Source organism: Homo sapiens, chromosome 11 (genome assembly GCF_000001405.40).
Source record: "Homo sapiens chromosome 11, GRCh38.p14 Primary Assembly".
Taxonomy (NCBI): Eukaryota; Metazoa; Chordata; class Mammalia; order Primates; family Hominidae; genus Homo; species Homo sapiens.
The window spans coordinates 120,359,423-120,386,359 of NC_000011.10; the positions used below are offsets into that span (position 1 = coordinate 120,359,423).

General features: G+C 37.3%; 1 protein-coding gene across 16 annotated transcripts in view, besides 2 other annotated features; it reads left to right on the forward strand.

Annotated features, from left to right (window-relative positions):
- The window catches only part of ARHGEF12 (Rho guanine nucleotide exchange factor 12), a 153,525-nt gene that overhangs the window by 23,010 nt on the left and 103,578 nt on the right, over positions 1-26,937 (forward strand). Inside the window, exon 1 of one of the 16 annotated variants that reach the window (NM_001301084.2) lies at positions 25,905-26,064. The exons of the other annotated variants lie outside the window; for them this stretch is intronic. The gene's annotated coding sequence lies outside the window, so the exon portion shown is untranslated. Of the gene's footprint in view, positions 1-25,904; positions 26,065-26,937 lie in introns of those variants that run through there. 16 annotated transcript variants of the gene reach the window in all.
- Positions 19,192-19,336: an enhancer, noted in NCBI's record as "145 bp 11:120249395 sequence used in MPRA reporter constructs". NCBI's record gives its function as "activates a minimal TATA-containing promoter with rs11600723 allelic activity by MPRAs in UACC903 melanoma cells {active_cell/tissue: UACC903}" and the evidence as "EXISTENCE:reporter gene assay evidence [ECO:0000049][PMID:36423637]".
- Position 19,264: a transcriptional cis regulatory region, noted in NCBI's record as "rs11600723 or 11:120249395 MPRA-significant variant associated with a GWAS melanoma risk locus at 11q23.3". NCBI's record gives its function as "allelic transcriptional activity by MPRAs in UACC903 melanoma cells {active_cell/tissue: UACC903}" and the evidence as "EXISTENCE:reporter gene assay evidence [ECO:0000049][PMID:36423637]".

Sequence of the window (26,937 nt, forward strand, 5' to 3'; positions counted from 1 at the left end):
GTAGAGATAGGGTTTTGCCATGTTGCCTAGGCTGGCCTCAAATTCCTCGGCACAAGTGATCTGCCCACCTTGGCCTCCCAAAGTGCTGGGATTACAGGCATAAGCCAAAGTGCCCAGCCTATTGGTGGTCATTTTGGAGGCTTCCCACCACAAATACTTACGGAATATCTGGGTACAAATATCTAGTGGACAACTAAATGTATAGGAATGAGTTCTTAGCTAGTGCTATTATATTTGTGATGGTAGTTGAAGAAACTTGAATAGGTGTAGATCAACAAGGATGAGATTGAACCAGAAAGACAGTTAATATAGTATCTTGGGTCACATGTTTGGGGAGGACAGAAGTACTTTCAAAGGCTGGAGGAACAGCTACAGGGGAGTAGTAGTAGAACAGGCAGGGGAGTACATTATAAAGGAAACTTGAAGGGATGAAAGTTGAAAGTAGAATGTAATTAACATTGTTCAGTAGTTAAATAAGAGTAAAACTTAACAGAGTCATTCTTTCAAAAAATATTTCTTGAATACCTGTGTGGGGAACCAGAGAAAGATTGGTAGATAAATAAGACCAAGTCTCTAATAACACGTAATACTATCTGAGGAGACAAGTTTGGGAAGGTTTCTTGGAGGAAGGTAATATTTTAAGGTAGAGACTCTTTAAAGGGTAAGGAGGTGAGTTGGGTATTTTAGGGGTGTGGTGGTAGAGATATGGATACTAAAGTGGACATTTCAGGCTATGTTAGATGTGGAACACTGCTAGGATATGAAGTTTTGTGATGAGGGAAAGTGGTGAGAAAAGAGGCTGGAAGGCCAATTAGAGTAGTCTTGAATACATGCATGTTAAGGAACTTGCCTTTATCCTGCTGACTGTTTCCCATACTTAAATTTGGATACTACTTTAGTGATTTGCCATAGGCTTATAACCCCTAAACTGTAAGTTACTAAACATTTTTCTTTAATATTACTCTTTATTATTTTATTTATTTATTTTGAGACAAGGTCTCACTCTGTCACTCAGGCTGGAGTGCAGTGATGCGGTCATGGCTCGCTGCAGCCTTGACCTCCCAGGCTCTAGTGATCCTCCCACCTCAGCCTCCCAAGTAGCTGGGACCATAAGTGCATACCACCACATTGGATAATTTTTGTATTTTTTGTAGAGATGAGGTTTCACCATGTTGCCCCAGGCTGGTCTTGAACTCCTAGGCTCAAGCGATCCGCCTACCTCGGCTTCCCAAAGTGCTGGGAATTCAGGCGTGAGCCACCATGCCTGGCCAGTAATATTACTTTTTAAACTTAGAAACCATTTCCAGAGGGAACTTCATTGTATTGTTATAAATAGAAAACCAGTATTGTTTGCTACATATAAAAGAGAATAGAAAAAATATGAATGATTATTACGTTAAAAAAATTAAAAGTGGAATGTAGCAATGCATCCTTTGATATAGAAAAATGCCCACTTGGAAATAAGTTCCTCAGTGAGAATACTATTTTTGGTCAGTTAGCAATAAAAGGGCCTTTGCTTGAATAGTGTTTGGTTTCTACCTAAGATGAGATTTTAAGGTCATTAAGACAATTCCATTTTTAAATTTTGATGTTAATAAGCACCAAGAATCACAACTCTCAAGTCTGCGTACTTGGAAAGATCATAATACAGTTAATGGTCAACTTTGTCCAACTTTATTGTTAATTCAAGCACTAATAAAAATTAAGCCCTTTTGTTCCAAGAAGCCATCTAAAGTAGTTTATAGCAGGGGTCCCCAACCCCTGGGCCAGGGCTGCACAGCAGGAGGTGAGCTGCCAGGGCGAAAGAGCATTACTGCCTGAGCTCCACCTCCTGTCAGATTGCTGGGGACGCATTAGATTCTCATAGGAGTGCGAACCCTGTTGTGAACTGCACATGTGAGGGATCTAGGCTGCACACTCCTTAAGAGAATCTAATGCCCGATGATCTGAGGTGGAACAGTTTCATACTGAAACCGTACGTACACTCAAATCCCCATCTGTGGAAAAATTGTCTTCCACTAAATCCGTCCCTGGTGCCAAAAAGGTTGGGGTCTGCTCATCTATAGAATCTATTCTTCTGAGTGTGTCAAGTTATTTATTGGACATCTGGAAATGGAGAAGGGATTTTTTTTGTCTACTCTTTGCTGCCATCCAGTTTGGGAAAATTCTCGCAAAAATTTTCAAAAATTTCAAGCATCTTTTACAATTTTCGAAATATTTCCAGTGAGTTTTTCAGAGGAATCCTTAACTGGTCCTTTCAGAGAGGAAAAAAGTATCCAGCTCACCTACATATCTCATAGTTCTAGTTTCACATTTATCTTGTTCACTTTGTTTTGTACGTGGAATACGTAAACTTGTCAGGATAAATTTAGGTTGTTCACATAAGTAGATATATTTGTCAAGATATGCTTATTTGCAGAGCCTGTCTCAGGCATGCACATGATCTCACAAACTGAAGATTTCTTCCAGAAATATTTGAAATTTTTCCTGCAGCTCAAAAGGATGCATGAAGAGTTTTCCACTCTTTTTGCCAAACTCTATATGTAGCCCCAATTTTGAAGTTACTTTTATAAGGTTTTAAATAAATGGTTTTGAACTGTAATGACTAACAAAAGGCATGTGAATGATAGTGCTAGAGATGCTGCCACCAAAGTACCAAGAAAGAATATCATGCTTGATGATAAAATAAAAGCTTTGGAGTGTCTCAAATTGGCTGAATACATTTAATGAGCTATTAGAGGAAACATGGTAAAGATGGATGGTCATTTAGAAATTCTAAAGTCCTGTAATGTTGAGGAAGCTAAACATTATCAAATCTTGGAAGAAGTAATCAATATAGGAAGAAGAAGGAGGAGAAGCAATACTTTGGATACTAAGCAATAGTTTCAATACTAAGTTGAAATTACTTAGCTAACCTCAATTTAATGGACTCACTACATTTCCTCTGCAGAACATGACTTTTACCCAGTGAGTTAAATGCTTGTGTCTCATGGCTATTTTGTAGTGTGTCTGAATGCTTCTACTTCGTCCAGTTGAATTGTATAATCTCAACCCGTTGTACTTGAATTGGAATTAGATGATTTAGTTAAATATTATGAAAACTGAAAACTGATGAAATCTGAGCACCAAAAAGAAAGTTATTTCTATAAACAGTGAGTTGTGTGTGCTTTGGAAATAAGAGTAGAGACTTGTCACTGAAAAAAAATTCTGTCAAATTAGACGTGTATACAAAACAATTATTATTTGGAAAGTATCTTCTAGATTATTATGAATGTCTTTCGTTTCTTGCTCCACTCTAAGGAAACAGGAAATAAATCATAGCTGATATATTTTAGGACAGTTTATACCAGAAAGCTGATGGGACACTCCAATCAACAGACCCCTACTTAAAGAAACAGCCAGGCGCAGTGGCTCATGCCTGTAATCCCAGCAGTTTGGGAGGCCGAGGCGGGCGGATCATGAGGTCAGGAGATCGAGACCATCCTGACTAACACAGTGAAACCCCATCTCTACTAAAAATAAAAAAAATTAGCCGGGCGTGGTGGCAGGCGCCTGTAGTCCCAGCTACTTGGGAGGCTGAGGCAGGAGAATGGCGTGAACTCGGGAGGCAGAGCTTGCAGTGAGCTGAGATCGCACCACTGCACTCCAGCCTTGGCAACAGAGCGAGACTCCGTCTCAAAAAATAAAAAAAGAAAAAAGGAAAAGGCTTTGATCCTACATTTTAAAATTGGCAAATGAATGTACATTTACATAAGTTGAAATAAAGTTTAAGGTTTGTATGAATGGTTTTTAATTATTTCCTGCTTTAACTATTCTTTTCCATTAAATGACCAACCACTGGTACCAGTGGATTGGATAAGACAGTTGGCACTGCGTGGATAAAGGAGGTTTAAAGAAAAGGAAACATGAAATGCCTTCTTTTTGAGGCTGCTACAATAACCAAGTTACAAGTGTGCTGATTAATTTATTATTCCTGTTTCCAGAAATGTCTTATTTGTATTTCATTTTTAATATTTTTAAATTTAATAGTTTACATTTCCCCCACTAGTGTTGCCTTCTATTTGTAGCAAGTTAATACTGGTTTTCTATTTATAATAGTGAGATAAAGTTTCCTTTGGAAAGGAATGTTACCTTTAAAGAAAAACATTAGGTGACTAATAATTTGGTGCTTATGTGACTGTGGCAAATCATGAAGATAGTATTTTAAGTATGGAAAACAATTGCTAACCAGCAAGATAATGTCAAGTTCCTTAATATGAACTCACTTCTTGGCCTTTGTCTACCTTCTCCAGCTTCATGTCTTACCACTTTCCCTTATTATGGACTTCATGTTGATCAAGTGGAGGCTCCCTCTCCTCAAGGAGAGTCCCTAGGCCAGATTCAGAAGATGGTTGGTAGAGAGGGGATTTGATAGCTTCTGAGGACAGTGCTTTGGATGGAGAAATATCATGCAACTTAGGACAGTGCTTTGGATGGAGGAATATCATGGAACTTTAGTTTTCCAGCTTTATTGAGCTTTGCCTGTGATATTCACTTGTTTGGGGGGCTGTTTGGAGACAGGGTCTCACTACATTGTCCAGACACAATCACCATGTACTGCAGCCTTGAAGTCCTGGGCTTAAGTGATCCTCCCATTTCAGCCTCCCAACTAGCTGGAACTACAGGCTCGAGCCACTGTGCCTGACTCTTACTCACTTTTTTGTTCCCAATACCTGGAAGAAGATCGTCAGTCTGTAAATATTTGAAATCTAAATAAGGGTTATGGTGCTGTAGTATAAGGCCAAATCTTGGGCACCAAACAAAAAAAAATTTAGAAAAATCCCTTAGCCCATCCCATGCTGTGCTGGGAGCTTCATCTTTCTTTTTAATTGCAATTTAAACGATCTACTGCTACAAGAGGGTTGTGGTAAAGCAGAATTTCTTATACTGTGCAGGTGGGCATGTAAATTGGTTTAAACTTACAGAAAATAATTTGACAATATAGTTCAAAAGCCTAAGAAATGTTTAAACTTTTTGAATTAGTAATGCCAATTTTGGTATATATCTCAAGACATTAAGGATATACAGTTTTAGCTGTCATTTTATACAAAGAGATCACCCACACCATTATTTTAGTAGGGGCAAAGAGGAACCAATGTAAGTCTGGTGCCTCTGAAGAGGTAGACCTAGAAACTGGGATGACAAGGAACTCCCAGGGGACTGCTGTTAATAAATTACTTTATGTCATTTGATAAAATATATGTAAGCATTAAAGACATTTTCAAGTAAACCTTAGTGAGGAAATTGTTCATGATCTGTGAAAAGTATGGGATAAAACTTCAAATATAATGCCAGTTACATTTTTAAAAAACATTCATGTGATGCTTTTAAAAAGACTTCTAGGACATGTACCAATTTTTTTTTTTTTTTTTTTTGAGCCAAGTCCCACTTTGTCGCCTAGGCTTGAGTGCAGTGGGCACAATCACAGCTCACTGTAGCCTCAGCCTCTCAAGTAGCTGATACTACAGGCACACACCACCATGCTCAGCTAATTTTTTAATTTTGTGTAGAGACAAGCTCTCACTATGTTGCCCAGGCTGGTCTCGAACTTCTGGACTCAAGTGATTCTCCCACATTGGCCTCCCGAAATGGTGGGATTATAGGCACGAGCCACTGAACCTGGCATGTACTACTTTTTAAGTGTTTCTGGGTTGTGAGATTATAGATGAATTTTGTTTTATTCTTCACACTCATATGTTGTTTTCTAGGCTTTTAACTATGTGTATATATATATATTGCCTTTGTCATGAGAGACACTTTTGTTTTTAAGTGAAACCTCTGTTTAGTTTTTATTTATTTATTTGATCTTTATTTTAATGGAAAGGTAACTGTGCTGGTAAGCTGATAGATGATTGGAAGGAATAATTCTTGAGACTAGGAATGCAAATGAAAGACTGCTGGGAGATATGAGAAGCTCCTGAACTAGGGCAGTGGTGATAGGATTGGAGAGGAATATCGTGATCAGTAAGACATAGGAATAAAGGAAAAAGAGGGATCCAGGATGACTCCCAAGTTTCTGGGTGTTTAAATGTAATACATTTGAGATGAAAGTTTGGCTCTTAAAAAATATTCTTATTTGGGGAATGTTTAAATTTAGTGAGGTCATTAACAACTTCAGATTCCTTTTATACTTCAATTCTTTAAATTCTATATGTTGCCAAAGATCCTACTTCTAATTTGTTAGGGTTAACAAGAAGAAAGATGATATGTCTGTGAAGACATGTTTCTGACATCTGTCACCCTATGGATTGCCAGTTGATAGACCTGGTTGTCTTGATAAGTATTAGCTGACTCCCCAACCAGTTTATTTGCACCACTTCTGAAGCAATAAGCTTGGTTGAAAAAGGGCACCTCCCAAGTAGGGAAGGATAATTTTTAGGTCAAATTATAGAAATTGCATGTATCCCTGTTAACACTTCCAACACCAACAAAAAAATAGACAGGAAAATGACCCTACCAGCTAATTCTCCATTATAAGACTTTGAAGAAAAGGTTCCATTAAAAACAGAAAAGAGGCTGGGCATGGTGGCTCATACCTGTAATCTTAACACTTTGGAAGGCCAAGGTGGGAGAATTGCCTGAGTTCAGGAGTTTGACACCAGCCTGGGCAACATAACAAGACCCTGTCTCTACAGTAAGTAAAAAATTACTGGATGTGGTGGCATATGCCTGTGGGGCCAGCTGTTTGGGAGGCTGAGGTGGAAGGATTGCTTGAGCCCAGGAGTATCAGGCTGCAGTAAGCCATGATTGTGCTATTGCACTCCAGCTTGGTGACAGAGTGAGACCCTGTCTCAAAAAAATAAAACCTTGAGGACCCAAATTTGATTTAAATTTAGATGTACTATCTGCTTTGGGAGAGTTACTTTATTATTATTTAGTAGAGACAGGGTCTCACTATGTTGCCCAGGCTGGTCTCCAACTTCTGGCCCCAAGCAGTCCTCCCACCTTGGGCTCCCAAAGTGCTGGGGTTACAGGCGTGAGCCACCAACCCTGCCCTTAAGTTATTTTTTTGATCTTTTCATGACATGCTGTGGGCAATAAAATAATACAGTGGGTGATCTGTTGTTGCAATTCAAATATGGAGTTCCTTTTTCTTCCACAAAAGTATTGGCTGATTTCTTTCTTTTTCTGGCTGTGAGCAACAGGTAAATTAACATGACCATGGTCTGTCCCCAGCGTCTTGACTCAGATTTCTTAATTTGAACTTTTCCATCTTCTCCACTCCAAGATCACATGACAACATCCAACATCAGTGGATAGAAATAATTAGAGGCTGGATGAGGTGGCTCACGCCTGTAATCTCAGCACTTTGAGAGGCCGAGGTGGGCGGATCATTTGAGGTCTGGAGTTCAAGACCAGCCTGGCTAACATGGCGAAACCCCATCTCTACCAAAAATATAAAAAATTAGCTGGGCGTGGTGGCACACGCCTGCAATCCCAGCTACTTGGGAGGCTGAGGCAGGAGAATTGCTTGAACCTGAGAGGCGGAGGTTGCAGTGAGCCGAGATTGTGTCACTGCACTCCAGCCTGGGTGACAGAGTGAGACTCCATCTAAAAAAAAAAAAGAAATTTAATAAGTCACTGCTACACTGGCAAAGAAGGGTTGAGTAGTTTTAAGAAGCTTAGTTGCTGTCCAACAGTCTTATTGCATCTGATTCTTTTGGTGCTTGCTTACTCAAGTAGGGATCACATAGCATGGGAAGGAAAGAGCAGATCTGTGATTCTGTTGTTTACATCTCAGAATTGTGGTTTGTGAATAGTTTTGAAATTTTTCTTATAGTTTTGGGAGAAATTTGTTAACGGAATTTTTAAGGATTATAGGACAGCACAAAATAATTTCTCTTGTTTAGATGCTTTTAATAATAAAAAAAATCTGTTAGGATACTTTTTCCTTTTTTTTTTTTTTTTTTTTTTTTTTTTTTGAGGTGGAGTCTCGCTCTGTCGCCCAGGCTGGAGTACAGTGGTGTGATCTTGGCTCACTGCAACCTCCGCCTCCTGGGTTCAAGCGATTCTCCTGCCTTAGCCTTCTGAGTAGCTGGGATTACAGGCGCATGCCACCATGTCCGGCTAATTTTTGTATTTTTAGTAGAGATGGGGTTTCACCATGTTGGTCAGGCTGGTCTCAAACTCCTGACCTCATGATCTGCCCACCTTGGCCTCCCAAAGTGCTGGGATTACAGGCGTGAGCCACCACGCCCAGCCTAGAATACTGTTTAAATGATAAAATAGCTGAGTGCAGTGGTTCATGCCTGTAATCCCAACACTTTGGGAGGCTGAGGCAGGAGGATTGCTTAAGGTCAGGTGTTTGAGACTAGCCCTGGCAACGTAGTGAGACCCTGTCTCTACAAAGTAATTTCAAAATTGGCTGAGAGTGGTGGCACACACCTGTAGTTCCAGCTGTTTGAGAGGCTGAGTTGGGAGGATTGCTTGAGCCTGGGAGGTTGAGGAGGTTGAAGCTGCAGTGAGCTGTGATCGTGCCACTGCACCCCAGCCTGGGTGACAGAGCAAGACCTCGTCTCAAAAATAAATAAATAAAAGATAAAATAAGACCGAAAGATTTCATTATGGGATAGAGAAGAAAACTAATATGGAATTTAAGATAATATTCTTATATTTGAGTGGCCTCTTTTTTTGAGACAGGGTCTCACTCTTATTGCTTTGGCTGGGCCACAGCGGCATGATCTTGGCTCACTGCAGCCTGGACCTCCTGGGCTCAAGCAATCCTCCCGCCTCATTGTCCATACTGTCTAGCTATCTCCATGATAACAACATCATCTTATATCATGACTACTGACTAAAATCCTTAGTAGCTGGGACTACAGGCACATGCTACAATGTCTGGCTAATTTTTTAATTCGTTTATAGAGATGGGGGTCTCCCTATGTTGCCGAGGCTGGTCTCAAACTCCAGGCCTCAAGAGATCCTCCCACCTTGGCCTCCCAAAGTGCTGGGATTACAGACGTGAGCCACCATGCCTGACCTGAGTAGCCTTTTTATTTAAAGGGAATCGGCATTTGTTTATTACCTGGTATGTTCTGAGTATCAGGCTGTGTACTTAACCTCACTTAATCCTGACAGCATTCCTATAAAGCAGATACCTAACAATTATTTGTGAGGAAATTAAGGTTCAGTGACTTTCCATAAATTTGCTTATGGTCACACAATCCATTGAGTGCTTGTGCCAGGTTTTAATCTCAGTCTGACCAATACCAAAACTCATTTTTTCTATGTATGTTTCCCTTTTAGAAAGATTTTATTTTTTTAATTTTAATTTTAATTTTTTAACTTTTAGGTTCGGGGTACATGTGCAGGTTTGTTATATCAGTAAACTCTTGTCATGGGGGTTTGTTGTACAGATTATTTTGTCACCCAGTTACTAAGCCTAGTACCCAAAAGTTATTTTTTCTGCCCCCTCCCTCCTTTCACCCTCCACCCTCAAATAGGCCCCAGTGTCTATTGTTCCCTAGAAAGATTTCATAAGTAAATGTCATCTAGCCTGTAAATTATTTTTGTTTGCCAGCATTTATAATATAGGTGGTCATTCTTTAGGTGCTGAAACAGAATTGGTTTTGTCCTTAGTGTCTGGCTGTCTCCAATGATAACAACATCGTCTTTTATCATGACTGCTGACTAAAGTACTATATTCTCAAATCTTCTTTTCTTCTTTTTTTTTTTTTTTTTTTCTGTGACAGGGTCTTACTCTGTCCCCCAGTCTGGAGTGCAGTGGCATGATCTCAGCTCACTGTAGCCTCTGCCTCCAGGGTTCAAGTAATTCTCCCACCTCAGCCTCCCGAGTAGCTGGGACTACAGGCGCACACCCGCACAACTGGCTAATTTTTATATGTTTAGTAGAGACGGGGTTTCACCATGTTGGCCAGGCTGGTCTTGAACTCCTGACCTCAAGTAATCTGCCTGCCTTGGCCTCCCAAAGTGCTGGGATTACAGGCATGAGCCATCCCACTCGGCCAGATCTTTTGTTTTTAATTGAAAACTTATAATACATTTCAGAGATAAAGGAGAGCTATTTCAGAACTGGTGCTTATTGGTAAGTTTTAAAGAGTTAAAGTCAGTGAACTGGTGGTATAAGCCATTTAATCATTATGTTTATCATTTTATAGATACTAATCGGAGTAATGCAGTTTCAACAAAAGTAGTTTATTTTGGGGTATACAAGAATTTTTATTCTTTAAGCTAATTAATTCTAAATTTAAAAGAAGGAAAACACCTGAGAAGCTTGCGCTCTTAGTGTTACTACACAGAAGTCTCAATGTAGCTGCAACATCTGATTTTAAAATTTTCTTTTTTCGTCTTATACTTGGAATATTTCACAATAAAGTAAAAAGAAAATGATATACATCCATGTACCTGCTACTTAGTGTTATCTTTTTGGGGGACGAGGCAAGCAAATAAAAATTAGAGATGAAGTCGAGGCTCCCCTGGGTATTTTCCCCCGATCCTGTTCTCTTCTGCCCCTTTCCAGAAGTAAACATCATAGTAAACTTGGTGTTTGTTGCTCCTATGCATGTTTTTATACTTTGGCTATATGTTATGTATCTTCAAACATTATGGAAATTTTTGCAGATTTTTAAACTTCCTAACATTTGAATTCATGTTCTATATTCAGCAATGTGTTTATTAACAAAATATCAATAAAAATTACTAATTATAACTGTTACTATTAATAATGAATATTAATAAAATATTATGAATATGATATGAGGTAGGGATTGAGTTTTATTCTTTCATGTGGAGAATCAGTCGTCTAGCCCCATTCACTGTGCAGTCTGTCTTTTCCCTACTGATGGGTAGCACTATCCTTGTCATACATAATGTTTCCATTATTTGTAGGTTTGTTTCTGAGCTTTCTAATCTTTTCCCTTGGTTTGACTATTTCTGTACCGACACCAAACTGTTCAGATTACTTTAGCTTCATAAGCAAAGTAAATCTCCTTACCTTGTTTTTCTTCTTCAAAATTTTCATCGCTATTCTTAGCTTTTTCTTTTTCCATATGAATTTTGGGATCAGCTTGTCAGGTTCCCTTAAAAGTTTTATTTTTTTTTAACATTGTAATTGCATTGAATATTTAGTTTAGTTTGGAGAAAATAGGCATATTTATGATATTGTCTTCCTATACATGAACGTGGTTTTTCCTTAGAAATTCCAGATATTCCCTTATGGTCTTCAATAGTAATTTATAATTGTATCCAAAAGTCTTAAAACTTTTTTGGCTAAGCTTATTTCTAGGTACTTTATGATTTTCTCTGCTTTTAGAATGGTTGGTCAGTCTCTTTCTTTCCCTCTCCTCCTCCCTCACTTATTCTTTTCCTTCCTGTTTCTTCCTTCCCATCCCCCATTCCAACCTCCTTTCATTTTTTTTTTCTCTCTCCTTCCCTCCCTTATCACCTTTTAATTTTATATTGTTTTGGCTGACAGTTCTATTTAAGGTAGTGTGTTATAGAGAAAAGTATATGGAACTTAGAGTCAAAATTGCTGGAAATGAGTCCCCGCTTCGTCCTTCAAGAATTATATGATAATTAAGTCAACTTTTCTGAGCCTAATTCTCTTAATCTGTAAAAGGAGAATATTTACTTTTATACTGTCTACCTCACAGAATCAAGTGAGATATGTGCATGAGGTTTTTTCCTAATTAAAAATTCAGTGCTAAAAAGAGTTCTTTCTAGGGGAAAAAAATGCCAATTTCCCCCAACTAAAAGTATAGACATTTATTAAAACTGTATCTTTAGGGCTGGGTGCGGTGGCTCATGCCTGTAATCCCAGCAATATGGGAGGCCGAGGCGGGCGGATCACCTGAGGTTGGGAGTTTGAGACCAGCCTGACCAACATGGAGAAACCCTGTCTCTCCTAAAAATACAGAATTAGCTGGGTGTGCTGGCGCATGCCTGTAATCCCAGCTACTCGGGAGGCTGAGGCAGGAGAATTGCTTGAGCCCGGGAGGTGGAGGTTGCTGTGAGCTGAGATCGTGCCACTGCACTCCAGCCTGGTAACAAGAGCGAACCTCCGTCTCAAAAAACAAAAAACTGTCTTTAAAGAAGAATACCTTAATACATAAACTTATTATTTTGACTCTTAAAGATTATAACCCTTATACCCCACTTCCTAAAAAAGGATGTGAAATGGTTTAAAGGGCACGTAAACATACACTCACCTCAGTTAAAGATGTTAAAAATAGAAAATCAAGTTATTACAGTGAGATCAGTGCAAATATGATAATTATGAGGGCTAATACAGCCATTGTAATTAAGCCTCTCTGCTTTCAGGATTCTGTGGGAATAAGGTAAATATGATTTGGTTCTATTGTTGGATGTATTTCCTCCTTTGAGACAAACCTAATTTTACTCCCATTAAATTAAAAAAATACTGTCCACCAAGGTTTCAAGACAATATTGGGAACAATATCTGCTACAACAGTTTCATAAGTGAAAGAGCACTTTTTCAAATGGTTTTTTGAATGACCGTTACTAAAAATCTGAGGGGAAAACAGAAAGCAGCACTCACCAAAACTGATTTCTTTGGAAAAACTAAACCAAGGTTATTTAGATAGCTTATGATCTAATTTGTCAGGCACTGAGCTGGTTTATAACCTAGAGCAGTGATGCTTTCAACATTTTTGTGTTAACACATATGAACTTTTGAATACTAAAATTTTTGGTAATATGTTGAAACTTCCAAGGGAACATTAGATAAAGTAATAGTAACTATAAGGTAACCACTAGTACAGTAAAAATGCCTTCTAGTTACAAATGAATCCAAAGCAATCTCTATTTTACTTAACACTATTAAGCACTGCAGTCTGAGTTTGATTAGAACTGTTTACTCTCTGATCTCCTCTGATCTTTTTTTTTTAATTCAGGAACCAAAATATTTATATGTTCTAATATAGATATACCATCTTTAACATTGGCTTGAAATTATGTAATGCCTCTGGATTGTAGTTATTTGTGCTTCACTATACCCTGTCATATACTGGCCCAGTACAAAGTTCTTTCTGACAAGCCTTTCTACCAGTGTGTTATTAACTAGTTTGCTTTGTATAATGCAGTTCTGCTCTCAAATACATCTAGGCAAGTAACCAAAGGAATCCTAGGTTAACTTTCTGCATTTGAAAGATGTATTTATGGAAGACTGAAGCTTATTTTTTATATGGTAAGGCAGGTGCTCAGTTTTTATGGGGCTTTTTTTCCCTATAATTTTTCAACTTTTTGTAAAAAGCAGACAGGATTTATGATAAGATAGGCCTGAGTTCAGATCCAGGCTCTACCATTTGTTAGCTGAACAACCTTGGAAAAGTTATATAGCTTCTCTACCTTAGCTTTTGTCTCTTTATCCCCAATATCTCTTATCATGTCTACTTCATAGGACTTCAGATGTGAAGTTTTTAAAAATTATCAAACTGTAACTTATTGATAATTTTCTGCTTAAGGTCACTCTAACTGAGGAACCTACCCCTAGAATTAAAAATAAATGCACAAAATAAGCTATTAATAATAAATGTTGAAAAAAGCTATTCCGTATTACCAGTATAATCTAAACTGAAACAAGATTTTTTCTTAGAAGTAATTTTTTCTAAGTATAACAATGCTTTAAAATAACCATTATATAAAATTTCTGACATAGATAAAAATTAGAATAGCTTAATGAACCTTCACTGACCTGTTACCAGCTTTAGTAATAAAATACAGTTTAGATTAATCCTTTTCAACCATATAAGATATAAAGTGACAAGGCCCCTCCCCTCTCCCAGTTGTTTAATATGATTTACCTGAGGTAGCCACCATTAACTTCCTTTACACAAATGAAATCACCCCATAGGTGCTGTTTTGTAGCTTGACATTTTCATTTAACAATATACTTTTTAAAATATGTTTTATTTCCATGTGAGTACCTATGTTCTGTGGCTATACAACATTCTGTTCTCTACAATGTTCTATATAATATTATGGCAGCAAAACACAAAAGAGTGAAATGAGGGATGTTTGTTTTATCCACTGCTGTGTTCCCAACACCTAGAACAGTGCCTGCACATAATAGATGCTCAATACATATTTGGTGAATGAATTAACATCTAGTTAGGAAATGTATTTCTAACTTGGAAATGTATTTCTATTATTGGTACGATATTCTATTATATAATTGTATAATGATTTATTTAACTAGTAGAATAATGATGGATGGTAGGACTTTGGGTTTTTTTCACCTTTCTATGTTTTTTTCCCCCTTCTATGTTTTTTTCCCCCATATTCTCTTCAGGGAGCAACTATTATCTTGATAATGGTGGCAATTTAAGAAACTACTTTGAGAAAATAATTAAAATATGAAAAATGGATTTTTTGTTTTTGTTTTTGAGACGGAGTTTCGCTCTTGTTGCCTGGGCTGGAGTGCAATGGCGCGATCTCGGCTCACCACAACCTCTGCCTCCAGGTTTCAAGTGATTCCCCTGCCTCAGCTTCCTGAGTAGCTGGGATTACAGGCATGCACCACCACGCCCGGCTAATTTTGTATTTTTAGTAGAGACAAGGTTTCTCCGTGTTAGTCAGGTTGGGCTCGAACTCCCGACCTCAGGTGATCCGCCCGCCTTGGCCTGCCAAAGTGCTGGGATTACAGGCGTGAGCCACCGCACCCGGCCAAAAAATGTATTTTTATGGACACCCATAGCTAAATGTCTTTCCATCTAGTGGCTGGTTAACCAAGCATGGTTCCTCCTGTTTCCTTTCCCTATGATCATTTCAGAGTATAACCATTGTTTAGTGTAGGAGAGATGTTATGACTTTTAGATATGCTTTTTTTCATAAAAAGGAATTGCCTAGTTAGAATTTTTTAAAGATATCTCACAGTTCAGCAGTTTTGACATTGCTGGGGAAATTTTATCCAGGGATACAGAAGAAACGTTCATTCATTTTTATTTAAGCACCTATAAAAAGTAGGGGGGTACTTCTGGCAATACAGTTGGGTTACTGTTTGTGGCTAAATATGTGTGTGAACATTACGACATTTGATGAAAACAGCTTCATTGAGCTACTGAGCTCTCCAGCTGATTTTTCTTCTTGGCCTTAAAGGTTTACAAGGCTAAGAATCAATCTCCTCTGGGGTAGATGGCCTTACGGATTTTAAATATGTGTTGTGATAAAAGTGATTTTACTCTAATACAGCATAGTACAAGTTAACTTCCAGTATGCAGAATTGACCTCGTGAATTTTAGTTTAATGATCTCAGTTCTCATGAACTTGCAAACATAGAAAAAAAATAAATATTTTTAAAAAACTTTTCTTTTTAAATTGTGAAAAACGTATATGATGGTTACAGCAAAGATTATGCTTTTATGACTAATTCATTACATTGAGTCATACATATTAATGATTCAAATTACTAACATAGCTCTATTAAATTAAATCTACCATACAGTATACAGGTATTCTGTACTTTGAAATTTCATAAATTTTTGGATATCAACTCTCAGAAGGGTATACTAGTAATTTGCTTTTACCCACAAAATCTTCAGATTTGTCAACAAAATGAACGAGATTGGTATTTTCACTTTAGTTTCTCAGTGAAAATAAAGAATGGGTAGATGAATGGTCCAAAGAGCTAAGAGAGAAGACTTAATTTAAACTCAAATAAACATGCCCAGAATGACCCTCTCTTTTTCTGCCCTTCCTCCTGCCACAGTTAGCCACTGTATGTCTCAGGTTTTAGGCAAAGTGAGTCTTCTTATCATGGAAACTGTGAACATTCATTAACAACTGGTTTTACTTTGAAACTTAAACAGCAAACACCAAAGAGTGAATTGTTGGTATAATCCATGGGAGTCTTGAGATTGACGTCAGAACACCAGTACAGCTGTATAAGCATTGGGAAGTATTTTTAACATCCGTGTTAGATCATCTTTTTGACCTTTCCTTTTATGTTTTCTCTTTTTCCATTAAATGGTTAAAAAAAAGAGCTTTACAATATTTTCTACCAACACTGTAATGATATTCTTAAAAAAAGCACCCGTACAATTATTTTCTTTGTTCCTTTCCCCTTTGCAACTTTCCTTTACCTGTAGTGTTCCAAGTTCTGATGGGGTGGCCTTTTTTTTTTTTTTTAAATAAAAAGTTTGTTTTTGAGAACAGGGCTAGATTTGCCGAAAATGAGAAGCTAGAAAATAACATATACCCCATAGGCATGCTCAGAGTCCCCTATTATTAACATATTACATTTGTGTGGTACATTTGTTACTGAACCAGTGTTAACATTAATATTAATTAAAGTCTGTAGTTTATTCAGATTTCCTTAGTTTTTACCTATTGTTCTTTTTCTTTCCTCAGAAACCACATTATATTTAGTTTGTCATGTTCCTTAGCCTCCTCTTGGCTGTGACAGTTTCTCAGATTTTTCTTGTTCTTGATGGTTTTGACAGTTCAAATGAGTACTGGTCAGGTTTCTTGTAGGATGCCCCTATATTAGAATTTGCTTGATGTTTTTCTTACGATTTGACTGGAGTATGGGTTGTTGGAAGGAAGATCACAGAGGTAAAGTGACATCTTCATCAACTCATGCCAAGGGTACTTACCGCTAACATGATATGTGACTATTGATGATGACCTTGATCACCAAAATAATGTTTATCAGATTTCTCCAGTGTAAAGTATTGGAATGTTCTGGTAGGCATATCCTAGTTAGGTTAATTGCTCTGGTAATTGCTTGGGCTTTAGTTATTAAATAAATCATCATATTGGTATACTGCTCATTGAAATGTTAAATTTTTTTTTTTACAAATAATGTGTTCAGAGTTGAGAATTAGATTTTTTAAATGTTCAGATTGTATTTTCAAATTGTATTTTTGAAATAAAGCTTTCCTTTCCTGTCGAATTCTAAAGATTTTGTTTATCTAAGGGAACAACTTAGGTTCGTATTTTAAGTAGGAAGTTAGAGAGCCTGGTCAGTTTATCTGCAATTTAAATTCTAGACACTGAGACTTATTTCCTTCATTTTATCTTTTAAAAAATAGACTGAGATATAATTTACATATAAAATTCACCATTATATTATTGTTAATTTTTATGGGCATAAGTATTTATATTTATGGATTACATGCAATATTTTGAGACAGGGATACAATGCATGATAATCACACTAAGGTAAATGGGGTATCTATTACCTCAAGCATTTATTCTTTCTTTATGTTACAAACATTCCAATTATACTCTTCTAGTTATTTTTAAATGTACAATAAATTATGGTTGACTGTAATCACTCTGTTATATCAAATACTAGATCTTATTCTATCGAACTATATTTTTGTATCCTTTAACAATCCCAACTTCCCCAACCCCCCACTACCCTTCCCAGCCTCTGGTAAACATCTTTCTATCTCCGTGAGTTCAGATGTTTTAATTTTTAGCTCCCACAAATGAATGAGAGCATGTGAAGTTTGTCTTTCGGTGTCTGGCCTATTTCACTTAACATAATGACCTTCAGTTCTATTTATATTGTGGCAAGTGACGGGATCTCATTGTTTTATATAGCTGAATAATACTCCATTGTGTATATGTACCGCATTTTCTTTATCCATTTGTCTGTTGATAGACACTTAGGTTGTTTCCAAATCTTGGCTATTGTGAATAGTGCATCAATAAAGATAGGAGTGCAGGCCTCTTTGATATACTGACTTCCTTAAGTTCACTCATTTTAAGTGTGTACTTCGATGAGCTTTGACAAGTGTGTATACTTTTTAACCACCACAACCAGCATAGTTAAGATATATAACATTTCCATCACCCCAAAAAATTGTCTCTGCTTTCTGTCACAATAGTTTTGCCTTTTCTACTTCATGTAAATGAAATCATGTACAGTATGTAATCTTTCTGTGTCTGTCTTCTCTGTCTCTTTTTTTTTTTAAAGACAGTCTCTGTTTCCCAGGCTGGCTGGAGTACAGTGGCGCAAACACAGTTCACTTCAGGCTTAATATCCTGGGCTCAAGTGATCCTCCCACCTCATGCTCCCAAGTAGCTGAGACCACACAGGTGCACAGCACCACACCTAGCTAATTTTTTAGTATTTTGTAGAGATGGGGTCTTTCTGTGTTGCCCAGGCTGGCCTCAAACTCCTGGGCTCAAGTGCCCTGACCCCTGCGAAGTGCTGGGATTACAGGCATGAGCCACTATGCCCAGCCTTTCTTCTCTTTTTTTAGGCTTAATACTTTTCAGATGCATCCAAATTGTTTCATATAATGGTAGTTTGTTCCTTTTTCTTACCATAATAGTATTACATTGTGTGAATAAGTCAGTTTCTTTATCCATTGACCTGTTGGTGGAGGTTTGGATTGTTTCCAGTTTTTGGCTATTTTGAATAAATCTGAACATTTTCCTGTAAGTTTTTGTGTGGCATATATTTTTCTTTCTCTTTGGTAAACATCTCAGAGTAGAATTGCTGAGTCATATGGTAAATATATATTAACTTTTAAAAAATTCTTTTATTTATTTTTTTAGAGATGGGGTCTCACTATGTTGTCCAGGCTGGTCTTGGATCAGCCTTGGTTAGGGATCCTCCCACCTCACCCTCCCAAAGTGCTGGGATTACAGGCATGAGCCACCACACCTGGCCTTGATTAACTTTATAAGAAACTGCCAAATTGTTTTCCAAAGTGCCTCTGTCATTTTACATTCCCACTAGAAATGTCGAAGAGTTTTACTTGTTCTACATCCTCATCAACACTTGGTAGTATCAGTCTTTTTAATTTTAGTCATTGTAGTGGGTGTGAATGGCATCTCACTCTACTTTTTATTTGCATTTCTCTAATGATGAATGATATTGAGGACTTTTCATTTGCTTATTGACCTTTTGTTCTCTTTTGTGAAGTGTCTGTTCAAGTCTTTTAAGAAGTTGGCTTGTCTTTGTCTTATTGAGAGGTAAGGTATGGGTCCTTTGTCAGTTACATTTAGAAAATGTTTTTCTTTCTGTTTGTGGCTTGTCCTTTTATTTCCTTAACAATGTCTTTCAAAGAGCATAAGTTATTAATTTTGATGAAGTTCAGTCTATCAACTTTTTATTTTGTATTCATGCTTCTTGGTCCCTATCGTAAATATCTTGACTTAACCCAAGGTTGCAGAAAATGTCCTCTTAATTTTTTCTAGAAGTTGTATAGTTTAGCTCTTATGTTTAGGCCTATGATTCATATCAAGTTAACATTTGTATATGGTGTGAGGTAAGGATTAAAGTTTGTGCGTGTTTTGGCATGTTTTCCAGCACCATTTGCAGAAAAGACTGTCCTTTTCCCGTTGAACTGCTTTGGCATCTGTGTTAAAAACTTAATAGACTGTCTGTGCATAGTTGTATTTATGGTTTCTTTATTATGTTCTGTTGATCAATATGCCTGAACATATTGATTGATTTATTACCTTAGCTTTAAGTCTTTAAATAAGGTAATATAAGTCTTCCAATTTTGTTGTTTTCCTAAAAATTGTTTTGGCTCTTCTAGATCTTTGCATTTCCATATGAATGTTAGAGTCAGCATGTCAATTTCTATTTACAGAAAACAGGCTGAGATTTTGTGGTTGTGTTGAATCTGGATCAGAATGTGGAGAATTGACATCTTAAATTAGGTCTCCCAATCCATTGGCATAATCTTTCTCTCCATTAATTTAGTAGTCTTCTTTAATTTCTCTATAAACATTACATAGTTTTCAGCATACAGGGTTTGCACATGGTTTGTTAAGTTTATGTGTTTTGAGGTTATAAATAGCATTTAAAATTAATTTTTAATTCTTTATTAATAATATATAGAAATACAATTGATTTTTCTATGTTCATCTTACATACTGTTACTAAACTTGCTTTTTGGTGCTTTTTTTATATAGATCTCTGGAGTTTTCCATAATGTCATGTTATTAAAAAGTTTTACTTTCATTTAAAAGATGTAAGCCTTTTATATATTTATTTTCACTGTCTTACTCATTTGGCTGAAATGTTAAAAGAAGTGGTGAAAGCAGACATGTAGACATCTTTTCATTGTTCTCAATCTTATGGAAAGCATTCAGTATTTTACCATTAAGTACGATTTTTTTTTTTTCCATACTCTATCAGTTTGGGGAAGTTACCTTCTATTCCTAGCTTGTAAGAAATTTTATAATTAACAGATATTGAATTTAGTCATATGCTGTTTCTGTATCTGTTTAGATGATCATATGGCTTTTCTGTTTTCTTTCTTTTTTTTGACTTGCCAGGAGGTATTTTCATCTGAGGCTTTTCTTTCTTAGACTGGTGATACAGTGAATTACATTGATTTTTGAGTGTTAAACCTACCTGGCATTCTTAGGATAAACCCCATTTGGTTTATCCTAATGGTCTCTTTATTATGTATTATGTATTATTCTTTTTATTTATTGATAGATTTGGTTTACTAATATTTTGATGATTGTTCTTGTTCCTTTGTTCCTAAGGGATATTTGTGTTTAGTTTTCTTGTAATGTCATTGCCTTGTTTTGATACTGAGACAGTGTTGGCCTCAGAAAATTTTTTGGGAAGTGTCATGTGTTTTCACTTTCATTTGTCAGATGTAGAATTGTTATCTCTTCCTTTAAATGCTTGTGATAATTCACCAGTGAAGTGAGTTTTCTTTGTGGAAATGTTTTCAACCAGCAATTAAATTCACTGCCCCCTGAGAGTACCCACTATTCTGACTTCTAGTACCATAGACTAATCCTTAAACTTTTTTTGGATTAATTTTTTATTTAGAGAAAAGTTGCATAAATAACACAGAAAATTCACGTAGAGTTCCCATATACCCTACACCTAGTTTTCCTGATTGCTGACATCTTACATTATTGTGGTATATCTGTGAAAACTAAGAAACCAACCTTAGTACATACTGTTAACTAAACTTCATACTTCATTTGGATTTTTCCAGCTTTTTCATTAATGGCCTCTTTCTGTTCTAGGATCAAATTTAGGATACCACATTGCCTGTAGTTTTCATGTTTCCCCAGTCTCTTGGTTTGTGACAGTTTCTCAGTTTTTCCTTGTTTGTCACGACCTTGCCATCCCCGAGGACTTTGTAGAATGCCCCCCAGTCTGCGTTTGCTGCTGTTGCTCGGTATTAGACTGGGTTATGCGTTTTTGGAAAGAATCCTCTTTTCCTCTCATCAGGGGTGCATGATGTCCACGTGGCATCACTGGTGATGTTAACCATGACCACTTGGTTAAGATAGTGTTTGCTAGGTTTCTTCACTATACTCTGTTTTTTGGGAACACATTACTAAGTCCAACCCACACTTTAGGAAGGGGGAGATATCTACATACATGGTTTGAAATTCTTCTGTAAGGAAGATTTGGATCTTTCCCCACATTTATCTGTTTATTCAGTCATTTATATCAGTATGGACTCATGTATGTTTATTTTATACTTTGAGTTCTAATGCTAGGTTTCTTTTCTTTTGCTTAAATTGTTCCAACTTTGGCTATTGGGAAGGTTTTCCGGTTACTGTTTATGTCCCTTTCATATGCCCCTATCCTTTTGTTTTTTGAACATCTCCTGACGTGGTACTAGAAGATGCTCCAGGCTCATCTTGTATTTTCTTTGCATCAGCTGTAGAATCAGCCATTTGAAGGAACTAGCATTCCTTTTATTTAGGAACCAAAATGTAGTTACTAGGTGTGCTCATTGCTATTGGAGTATCGTTGCTTTTAGGCCCTCTCAGGGGACAGAGCTAGGTAATATCTGTGTGAATACTAACCCATGTATACACATACATCTCTAATTGTTTCTATATGTATCAGTTGGCATATATGTTAAGTTAAACATGAGTTGATATTGATGTCTCTGATTATAATCCATTACCACAAGGTTCACTCTAGTCCTCCTTTTTAATCTGTGACTTCCTTGTCTGACCATAAGAAACCTGGCTCCAGCCACCCCATTATCCATCCACTTATTTTTTCAACCTATGTACACATGAAAAGCAAATTTAGAATTATTACCCCATACCCCATGAGTACAGTATTTATGTACAGTTTCTTTTGTCATTAGCCTTACAATTTCAAGTCAAAACACCGTGTTCCAAAGTTTGTTAGGTAAGCTCCTTTTTCACCGCCCCTTCAGTGAAGTTATGTCATACATTTGTAATGCAGTTAGTTTCATTTGTCGCAATCCACATTTCATCTTGGGATCCTCTGACGTTTTGGTTGATGTTAGTGGTTGTTGTTTGGTTAACATTTGTTGAAGTTCACTCTTTGTACTGTGCCATTCTGTGGGTTCAGACAAATGCAACGGGTCATGTATTCACCACCCTAATGTACAGCGCAGATCCTGCACCCTAAATGTCCCCCTGTGCATCCCGTTTGTAGTCAAACACTCTCCTCTCCTCTAGTCCCTAGCAACTACTAATTTATTTTCTGTGTCTCTACTTTTGCATTTTCCAGAGTGTTGTATAAATGGAATGATACAGTCTTTGGATTTTTCCATGTAGTAAAATACATGAAAAATCCAAAGATTGTATCGGGCTTCTTTCATGTAGTAAAATGTATTTAAGATTCATCCATGTTGTGTAAATTAATAGTTCATTTGTTTTAAAAATTGTTGTACTATTCCATTGTGTGGATGAATCATAATTTGTTTTTTCATTCCCCCATTAAAGGCCATTGTAGTTACTTTCAGTTTTTGGCATTAGGAGTAAAGCTGCTGTAAATGTCCATGGCCAGGTTTTTGCATGGATATAAGTTTTCAAGTCCCTTGTGTAAATACCTAAGAGTATGATTGTAGGTCGTATGGTAACTCTGTGTTTAACTTTCGACTGCTTTTGTTCTTTATAGAAATGGAGTTGTGCAGTATGTGCTCCTTTTTAATCTAGCATCTTTCTTTTGAATTGTTTATGACATTTATCTGTATATTTTGAGTGGTCATAATTCATTTGCATTATTGATTAATATTCTAATGTGTGAATAAACTACAGTTTTAAAAATCCATTCTACTGCAGATGGACATTTAGATAGCTCTAGTTTGGGACTGTTACTAACAGTGCTGTTTAGGAACCTTCACAGACATGTATTTTTGTGAACATACATATACATTTCTGCCTAGTTGTGGAATTCGCTGGTACAGCTTTAGCTGATTGTACCAAGTAATTTTCTGGAGTGATTGTACCAATTTATAGTCTGATCAGCGGATGTAGTTTCTAGGTGCTTAATGTCTTCATGAGTACTGTATGTATTCATTCATTCTATTTCTCTCTCTCTCTCATTGTGGTTTTAATTTACATTTCCTTAAAGTTGAGCACCTTTTTATATGTGCATTGGTTATTTGGATATTCAGAAAAATTAAGAAAATTGTAAATTTCTTCTGGGCTCTGAAAGCATTGGGGTTTGGAATAAGGGGTGGCTTCCATTAGGAAAGGCAGTAAGGGGGCCGGGCGAGGCGGTTCACGCCTGTAATCCCAGCACTTTGGGGGCCGAGGTGGGCAGATCACGAGGTCAGGAGATTGAGACCATCCTGGCTAACATGGTGAAACCCCATTTCTACTAAAAATACAAAAAATTAGCCAGGCGTGGTGGCGGGCGCCTGTGGTCCCAGCTGCTTGGGAGGCTGAGGCAGGGGAATGGCGCGAACCCAGGAGGCGGAGCTTGCAGTGAGCGGAGATCGCACCACTGCACTCCAGCCTGGGCGACAGAGCCAGACTCCGTCTCAAAAAAAAAAGAGAAACAGTGTCTTTGGGGGAGAGCCAGGTGTTGGTGAAGGCAGCGTTTGGAGTGCATTCTGTGAAGAAGTTAAGAGTGTAGTGGTGTTTGGTTTCTTGTAGCAAGAGTCCTAGAGCAGTGGTCCCCAACTTTTTTGGCACCAGGGACCGGTTTTGTTGTAGACAGTTTTTCAATGGGACTGGGAGGGTGTTCGGGGGAGGGCAGTAGTGGGATGGTTTCAGGGTGATTCAAGCACATTACATTTATTGTCTACCTTATTTTCATTATTATTACATTGTAATGTATAATGAAATAATTATATACTCACCATAATGTAGAATCAGTGGGAACCCTGAGTTTGTTTTCTTGCAACTTGACGGTCCCATCTGTGGGTGATGGGAAACAATGACAGATCATCAAGCATTAGATTTTCATAAGGAGTGTGCAACCTAGATCCCTCTCATGTGCAGTTCGCTATAGGGTTCCTGCTCCTCTGAGCATCTAATGCTGCCACTGATCTGACAGAAGTGGGGCTCAGGTGGTAATGCGAGTGATGGGGAGCAGCTGTAAATACAGCTGAAGCTTCACTTGCTCACCTCCTGCTGTGTGGCCTGGTTCCTAACAGATCATGGACCAGTATTGTCTGTGGCCCAGGAGTTGGAGACCCCTGTCCTAGAGTACACAGTGAAAAAGTTTGATAGAGAGGGGAACAGTGGAAGATTTTGTTAGATATGTCACATGATTAATGGATGACTAAAGTTTTGTTTGGTGATCTAGGATGATAGAGATGTTGAGACATGAAATTAGTTGGCTTCAAGTTCTAAGCTGTCCTGTGTGAGAAATTGCCTCATCAGCCAACACAGGCTTTGACATATGGGTAGCTTCGTGTTTCTTAGGATACTTGGGCTGGTCAGAAAGTGCCAAGCATCAGAGAAACTGAGACCTCGGTATAGGTGGAGGAAGTCTAATGATAGCCACAGTCAGTAGCCTAGTCTGATTTGTTTTTAGCAAATCTAGACTATTTTCTTAATCAGTAACTACTTCTTTAGTAACTACTTACAAGGCGACTGCCTTTGCCAAGGTATATGTTCTCTGAAAGCTGATTCTTCATAGATCACTAACTGTAGTTTTGAGGTTCTGTGATTTCCTTCAAAATTCACAGAACCTTGAGCTATAATTTATGTGGATAGAGTGATTACTGGGATTTAACTTAAAATTAGATGTATTCAAATGTTTTAAGGAATATGTTTTGTAAAACAACATGTTTTTCATTCGTTACTTATATATTGATCCCAGAAATTGTGTGCCTGCAAATTGTCAAGTTGGGTTGATGCTTCAGAAAAGGAAAGTAGAGGCTGAGTCTTCTTAGTATAGCAATGCATTTTTTAGAGCAGTGTTTGAGGCAAATTATTTTCGCAAAATTACATGGCTTCTAGGGATTAGATTGCATGAGTTTGTCTCTTGTTCCTCCCTCATTCTACTGTAAGAGGCCAGGCTGCTAGTTAACAGAATGCCAGACATAATGCCTAGGGCATAGTTTGAGACCTGGGAAGATTCACAATAATCAAACACAAACAGACAGAGTAGCATGAAGAAATTTCAATCCTCCCAGTCTTGCTTACAGATTTAATTAGGCTTATTGGGGCAGAAAATATTTTTCCTCCCCCCATGTTTAAATCTGTTTCTCCTCTACTCCCACCTCCTGTCCCAGATTCTCTTTGAAGGGGTAATACTAGCAACAAAAGGAGATTTTTTTTTTTTTTTTTGTAAATCCTAACTTATTTGGTTTATCTGGCTTTAGGAAAAGGAGCAGTAACAACAACCGAATTTTAAGGTATTTGAGGGACTCCATTTTTTGGCACTGTATTTGGGAAATTCCCAATTTAAAAATCATGCTGTACTCAAGAAGAAAATTAGGGTTTTTTTGTGGCTTTATAATTGGATCTTTTTTGCAAGTATTTTTAATTTTATGAGAGGTATTTGGCCTGTTCTGCTAGAGAATTATCAGCCAAATCCTTGCTTTCTTTATATTATATATATTTTCCTGAGTGATATTCTAGGGAAATGTATATGGATGCTGTTCTCTGTCTTTCCATTAGCAGCGCAGTGTTGGGCTTCGAATGATGATGGTAGATGATTGGGGGTGGGAGAAGAGGTGGGGTTTCTTCTTATCATCCCTCTTGTGGTCAGTAAAATCATCTGACAAATGCCTTTCCAAGGATGTCGAATGTATATATAAAGAAAAAGCTTAGGATTGCTAAGGGAGTGGTATTTTGGTGAGGATTTCATTTTCTTCTACTCCATGGAAACGAGCCTTTTGAGCTTTTGCTTGTCTGCTGATTTGTCCGGTGATCCAGGTAATCTACTGCAGTCTTTGTTTTCTGGGTCGTGTATAAAATGGAGCAAAATGGTAGAAAAATAGCTTCAGTGAAAGGGATGTACCTGTTAACAGGAATAAAATAGAAAGGAAAAGGATATTTTTACATTGTTCATTATTATTTCTCACAACAGCTTTTAGGATTTTTATCATGTTTTAAAAAACCTAATTTGACCTAAGGAAGAAAATTCCTAGTTTTGAAAACCCGTGCCTTAATTGCTTAGCTTTAGAACAAAGGTTTTTACATCCAGCATTGCAAGGATATCTTTATTCAAAAGAATAGGATGCAGCATTCTTATGTTACCTTTTTAGAACTGAATTGGCATAACCTCTCTTGAATCTTAGAGACTTTGACGTATTATTCTGTGAATTGTGATTTAATTATCTCATGCTTCAGGATGGTTGTTTCCCTTTGATACCCAAGAGACCATGGATGGGATATAGGGGGTGGGGATTAATATTACAGTGGGGGAAGGGAGTGTTTTTACAGAGTAACCTTCCTGTTTTTGCATTGGAAACTAAATTGAAATATATAATCATTGGAAAAGGTGGTATCCATGGCACCAATCTTATCAACTTGAATTATTTTATCCTTTGTTCAGTTTGTGGTATTTTTGCTCTTGTCAGCTGAAATGTTGATTATAAATTTGAAGAAGCTGCCGAGTTGCTGTGATGGCACTGGAATTGCATTCTGCTTTCTTTTTCTTTCCAATTATAGCTGTAAATACAGGAACCAAGGGATGAATGTGAAAAGAAGTAATATAAAATGCTGAAGATATTTTTGGTTTTCTCTTGAAAGTATTTTTCATAGTGAGAATTATTTTCTTGTGGACAGAAAGAGCTAGGACCCTAA